This window comes from Homo sapiens, chromosome 13 (genome assembly GCF_000001405.40).
Source record: "Homo sapiens chromosome 13, GRCh38.p14 Primary Assembly".
NCBI classification, from domain to species: Eukaryota; Metazoa; Chordata; class Mammalia; order Primates; family Hominidae; genus Homo; species Homo sapiens.
Window position 1 is genome coordinate 42,655,199 of NC_000013.11, and position 7,002 is coordinate 42,662,200.

At 39.8% G+C, this 7,002-nt stretch overlaps 1 annotated feature.

Moving 5' to 3' along the window:
- Positions 894-1,474: an enhancer, noted in NCBI's record as "NANOG hESC enhancer chr13:43230228-43230808 (GRCh37/hg19 assembly coordinates)". NCBI's record gives its function as "activates a minimal SCP1, AML or CMV promoter by ChIP-STARR-seq in naive H9 embryonic stem cells {active_cell/tissue: H9 hESC(naive)}" and the evidence as "EXISTENCE:reporter gene assay evidence [ECO:0000049][PMID:30033119]".

Below are 7,002 nucleotides of genomic sequence, written 5' to 3' on the forward strand. Positions count from 1 at the left end.
TTTGATACAAAATGAAAAAGTGTAGGAATATAGAAAAGAAATGACCAAAGGAATCAATGTTTACATTTTAAGTCTTTGGATATCTCCATGAGATTGATTCAGACGGTTGTAAACACGCAAAGCACAGTGAAAGTCTGTGTGCAGATGTTAAAACATGATTATTGGAAACCTATTATTTGGAAACCTATTATTCCAAGATCTGGGTGTTTAAAGTGGTCGGTGCGGTTTTGTTGGTTTTGTCTTTCTGGCTCCTTCTTAGGGACAGGGCAATGGTGAAATGTGTCCTCTTGTGGGATGTAAGGCAGTTTTGTTGTGGCAGAAATGGAAGGACTGGAAAAGGCTCCTACATAGAACAAGGAGTCACAACTCCCCATCTTCCACCTCATGCCACTTTGGTCAGATTGCTCAGGTATCTGGGTCCAAAAGTCAGACCGAGCAGCTTCCCCACCCATGGTGAATACAGAGTCAAAGTGAATCCATCATGTCCATTTTCAAAACAATATAAAACACATGCTGAGCCAATGCTAAAGCAGTGCTATCTTTGTACACTTAACTCTGTTAGACTGTACCCAGGACCTGTCTTTTGCTAAAGTATATCCAAGTATACCTGTACACACAAAGAGGTGGTTGTTGGAAATTTGTAGATGCCATGTGTCTATCTAGATTTGGTCTGCATTTGCAGGCTAGTAGCTCACCCGAAGATTCTAGATGCAATTCTGCTGGATGTTTTAGTTTCTAAGTCTTACCACTTGTGGCTTTGGGAAATCACTCACTGGGTCTTAGCATCCATATGTATAAAAAAAGAGCTTGGATTTCCAAAAGGTAGATGTTGGGCTGAGGAGTTTATAGCAAACTTGTGTATAAATTAAAATTTCTTTGGTCTACTGTGATCACCGTCGTTAAACCAAGATTACTGCTAATAACCCTCCCAATGACCCTGTCTCCTGCCTGGCTGACGTCTATTCCACAGGAAACACTCAAAAAGGCTTTACCCTTTAAGCTCTGATAGTAGTGGCCACAGCAATGCAGCCACCACTATCCCGTTGTCACAGGCAACTTGAGCTTTCCAAGAAGGGTCAGGCACTAATCCTTATAATTAACACTCTTCCAGTAGTTTGCAGAAAGTCCTCCAACCAGGCTTAACCTAAGGGAACTAGCACTCTTTCAGATCCTCTTAAGCAGCTGGGGGAGGGAATCATGCTACAGAATCAGTATGACAATAGTTCTTTTCAGTGAAATTGCTTCAGTAAGTTCTCTTCCTGTTATATCCTTTCTAGTTAAAGTTAAAGAGGAGTGTCCAAGAATGCTGAAATTCCTCATGTGGGGAGAGTCAGCCTCATAATCTGAACCAAGGAGAGACTCATTTTAACATTCTGGAAAAAAGGTAAATCATTTCAGCCTGCGTTGAAGTCACTCCTCCAACCACTGGAAGAGATACACATCTACACTCAAAATAAAAGCCTTCCCTTAAATACTCTTTAACAAAAAACCTTCTAACACACAAATCTGAAGATTTCTATTACAATAATTTTTTCAAAGACTTCTGAAAGTCATAACCCATTCAACCAAGAATCATGCTTTCATTCCGGTTTAAAATTACACCCAGCAATTCAGAAGTGATTCAGAGCATCTACAGCAACACATTTCAGAAAGTCTGTCAGGTACTTAATTCTACATTAAGAATTAAGTGCAAGAATATATACTCTCTTTGTGCATTTGTTTAATACTTATTAATTGGTCTCACTATCATTTTTCATGTTTTCTGAGATGCTCAGCCATCTCGAGGGGTACAGAAAAAGTCACCAAATAAATGTGAATAATGATGATTACAGAGATTCGAACTGAGGACACAATCTCCTTATTCTACATTCGATTTAAATAATCTTCACAGGAGTAGTAAAGTGTAACTCCTTCCCGCAGAGGGCTGCAGTGACATAAACTGATGTGACAGATGGACACACCATAGCCCACCCTAATTAGCATTCATTAGCATACTAAGTTGTATCTTGATCAGGCAGCGAACACAAGGTGTGCACAGAAACAGCATTTTCATGAACCCCATCCAGCTAAGATGCCTCTCTTCACCTTGGTGGGGGAAATTCATAGGATAATCATGCCATGATGCTTGGTGCTAAGTACTGTGCCACAAACAGAAAAGGTTTCAGGCTTAGGTGGAGGCAACCTAGAAAGGAGTGACTATTTCAAAACAGAAACTTAGGTTAAGCAGGACACAGAGAAATGTGAGACTTAAAAGACATGAAGGTCCCCAGAGATGGGAGAGGATTTGGAAGGGTAGTGGGAGAAAGGAGATCGTTTTTTACCTTTGTTTTTAAAGAAAAGCCATTCCCTGAAATTGAGGAAAGAGATCTTCTTTGTGTATCATTTCAGTGTGTCTATGTTGTCTTTGCTATTAGTGTGAAAAGCCTTTTATTTGAGCAGAAAAGGAATCAATAGAGAGAGGAAGAAAAGAAGGAAAACGAGTGCACACCACCACCTGCTTTTCTGGGAAGACAGAAAGCATAAAAAGAAGATACATGTAAGGTGTTTTGAGCACAATAAATATGTGGGGGTTTTTTTTTTTTTTTTTTTGGCACTGCCCTTCAGGATGATATTGGAAAAAAAACAACCACTTTCTTCTCCTAGGGCTGTGGGGTCATCAATTGAAGGGAAATTGCTTCCACCAGCTGATGACGCCCAAATCCATACCTCTAATTTCAGATCCTTCTTTTGAGCTTGGTGTCCATATATCTAGGGATTTACAGGACACTCATTCATATAGACGTCCAAGTATTTCTGGAGGATGTACCATGAGGCAGGAAGTGTGTAGTGGAGAATCTGGGCTGAGTTTATTATTTAGTTTTGGACAGAGACAAGTGAGAAGAAACTGTTACTGCCGAGAGGGAGAATCACTGCGAGGGGAGCACACGCAGGAGCTCCACCCTGCCTGGGGCCGTGGAGGCGAGGAAGTAAGTGACACTGGAGTCTAGACCTGAGTTATGAGGAGGGATTGCCCAGAGACAAGCTCAGGGAGAGGCCACAGAAGATGCGGGAAAACAGGTAAGGGCCACAGCCTTTTCAAACACCCGGAGAAGACAGAGATGATGGCATGCGTGATGGAGAAACAGTGATGTTTGGAATGGCGGGAATGTCTAGTAAGCTTCAAGCACTCCAACATCTAACTCTGCCCCTCCTTTTGTATTCTCTCTTCTTGTGAATGACACTACGGCCTTCCCAGTCCCCCACACCAGCCACCTGCACATCTTCCTGTTTCCCTTTACTTTCCATTCCTCCCCCAAATCCAATAAACCACCACCTTTCTTCTAAGAGTCTTGCAGACGGGGATCCTCTTTTCCAAGCCCCTCTTCTCTCCCCTGGACTGCTGTGACGGTCTCCGTGCTTATCCTCCTGTCTTTACCTTGTCCCCTCCAGCCCATGAGACACATCGTTGTTGGAGTGCTCTCTGCAGAAAACAGAATCTGTCTCATCTTTTCCCATCACCACCCCTCAGTGTCTACTCACGGCCCTCAGAATTAGTTAGCATCTACTTCATCTCAGGGCATGCGAGGCTTCGTATGATTTGACCTCTGCTCAAACTTGCAGACCCCCCTATTTTCAGCCACTCTCCTGCATCTAACCTAAGATCCCATTACATGGAGCTTCCTTCAGTTACCAGAGCTTGCCCAACTCTCAAATTGAGTATTTTGTGTTTATTCTTTCCTTAAATGTCCCCACACTTCCTGTCTAGTTAATTCTATTATTTTATAATTCTCAGTGGAGACATCACCAACTGTGAGAAGCCTCCTTTGAAAGCCTCGTTGCCAGTCTAGATGGGGAAGCCTACATGCTTCCAAGCAGCCTGTGCTCTCCTCTCCCATAGCACAAGTCACTGAGTCTGTCTGTTCCTCATCAGGCTCAAAGTGCTTTGAGGGGCAGGTACCAATTATTTCATCTTGTATTCATTTGAGCCTAGCACAGTGTCCCCAAGCATTCATTCACTCTATTCTGCTTTTTTAACCACCTCAAGATGTTATAGTATGTTTCTGTGTAGTATCTGCCCCACTCTAAGGCAAGCTGTACAATGCCAGGGAGTTTGTTTTGTTCAATCCGTTGCCATGACAATGATACCTGGCAGAGGATAGGTGTTGAAGTAATTGTGTATTTGTTGAATGAATGAGTGAATGAATCTGATGTTCATGCCCTGATCCTAGCTTTGGTCCATTACGACTTCATCATGGCAAATCCCTATTTTTTCAGTTTTCTTTGACCTGAGATTCTTTAGTAAGTGGTTGCTGACTAACTATTTGACATGGGACAAGTTGCTAATCCCCTCTCTGTCTCAGTTTCTCCTTTGGTGAGGAGAAATCTAGCTTCATTAAATTGACATGCAGTTAAATCTACTTCATTAAATTGACATGAGAGTTAAATTAGTTTATTCATGTACAATATTTAAACAGTACCTAGCACATGGTAAATGTCCAGTAAATGTTAGCTATCATCATCATCAAAATTACCTCCATCTTGTTTTTATATCCCACACTCCTTTAAAATCATTCTTTGAAACATTTTTCCTCCTACAAAGTCTTCAAGCTATAACTGTCCCAATCATTTTAGGGGCCACAGGACAGCTTCATGCAGAGTCTCTAGCATAATGCTAGATAGTTATTAAATGCTTGACTAGAATGACAATTTGGAATTCCTCTTTTAAAATACTGGCATCTTGATGTGTAGGTCATCTTTTCAGATTGCCCCATACTGAACTGATCTGCACTATTCAATAGAAAATGAGTTTTTGGGAAACAGCGTTTTCTTGTCTATTCTCTCACTTCAGTTAGGAATAACAGTTATAAGCAGAATAACAATAGCATTTCTATTTTTATACATGACATCCATCCACCTGTTTTTCAAAACCTGACACCTGAGCCAGATGGATTTCATCCTAGTTTTATTTTCTTTCTTTTTCTTTTTTATTTTTGGAGAGGCTGGGATAATACCTGCACAGTGAGAGCAAAGCCATGGCCCCAGAAGCAAGGAGAGCTCATCCTAGGTTTAGATAGGAACTTAAATAAGGAAAAAACCTTCCTCAGGTGCTCCAAGAATCAAATAAACACATGTTCACAGTGGCATTTCCATGGAGATGTTAGAAAGCCAATCTGAGCGTGCTATTCCATGTAATTTGAACAGGTGCAAGTTAAGCATGGTGGCTTGCATTCCTATAATGCCAATAAAAGCTTTAATACTCTGGAGATTAATTAATGATAAAAACAAGATCTTGCTGGCATCTGTGATGAATGCTTGTGGGTATTGAATACATAGCCTGACACAGGTATGTGTGTCTGTATATGTGCATTGAGTTTAAGCATTGTCCAAAAGATGGCACTGTTTGTGTTTTTATCATGTTTAATTGCAAACTTTATACTATCTAGGCATATTAATGAACTAATTTAAGACAGAGCAGAGATATCATCCTCCACACAAATCAAACTGCTACTTTATTATAGGCCCTTTCAAACTCTTCATCTCTTTCCTCACGAAATGAATATGCCCAAGCTGTTAAATGCAATAACTGCAATGTCAGCAAACCTTTTATTTATCAAATACTTTTTTTTCTATCTTAAAGGGGATTATAAAACCTACCTTTGAAATCATTACAGATACACGACAGAAGACGGATAATTGTGACATATTTAACTTTTTAATCTTGGGAAGCTAGATTTTTCAAATATAAGTACTTCTTGATCATTTAAACGTGACTACACATGTAACACACAACTGGTAGTTGCAGTAATTATTAAAAAGCATTGTTCTTTGAAATTACTAACACAGCAAAAGGTGAAATCTCCAAATAACTTTATGAGGGCAAATAGGAAATTAGCTCCAATAACATTCTACAATCTCAAAATGTACTAGGGAATACTTCTGTGTGGGAGTGAGACATGCTGAGAGATGGCTTGTTAGAAGCACTCTGATGTTGCAGTGGACATATACATTTTTGCCTGTACAGCATGTCTTTTGGAAATCACCGTTCCTCATTCTTAAGCGACTTGCAGTCATTGTTCATTGGCCAAAGCAAGTCAAATGGCAACCCTAAATTCAATGGGTTGTGGAAGTGCAGGACTGCTATGTTCCTGAAAGGGTGGGGGGAAAGTGAAGTATTTAGATAATGTGTACTATTACCTAAATTCAGGGTGTGGTTTTCATAAGGCTAGAAGCAAAAGCCAGTGAGTGGTTTCGCCAAGTTGGCGGAGAAGGGGTTTGTTAGATACGGAGATAAATAAAATTCCATAAAAAAAGCTTTCCCTAATGACAAAGAATCATCAGGGAGAAATGACACAGAATTTGCATTAATGTACATACTAGAGTGGATTAGAATGTTTTTTCACTCCAACTCCTACAGAGTCACTTATAGCCAAGGCTAGATTAGAGCTTTATAGAGCAGAAAACATTTTCCCTTTATGCAAAAAATTTTCAGGGAACTAATGTTCTTTTTGATACCAGCAGAAAGCAAACAGTGTTAAGATACTTTTATTATGGTAGGTAGCGTTTGAAATATGTTCCCAGCAATGTAAAAGAGCAGCAAGTGAGTAGCCTGCTAAGAGTCCTGTAGCAATTAGGAACTTCCAGAGAACGAATAAAGATTTCTCTTATGCATATTTAATAACAGCTGAAATTTTATGGTAGAGAGTGCCAGGAATTTTGTGTCTATGTGTTTGTTTTTCTTTATTTCTTGCTTCCTATTGCATCCTCTAATATCTTATTAGTTTGTAACATTCTCTTAGTGGCTTCAGTATAATAACTTGTATTGGAATTATCTGTTCATATTTTATGTTTCCTGAAGAACTGGGTATAAGGAGACAAAGATAAGATTCATTGACATAGGGAAGTTGCTTAGATGCAGAAAAAGCGCTGAAAAAAACTAAGACACTAGCTGGGATAGATTTGTTTCCTGTTAGTAGCTGTGCATGAATGCATCAATGTTGTTGAACATTTGTTTTCCCTGATACT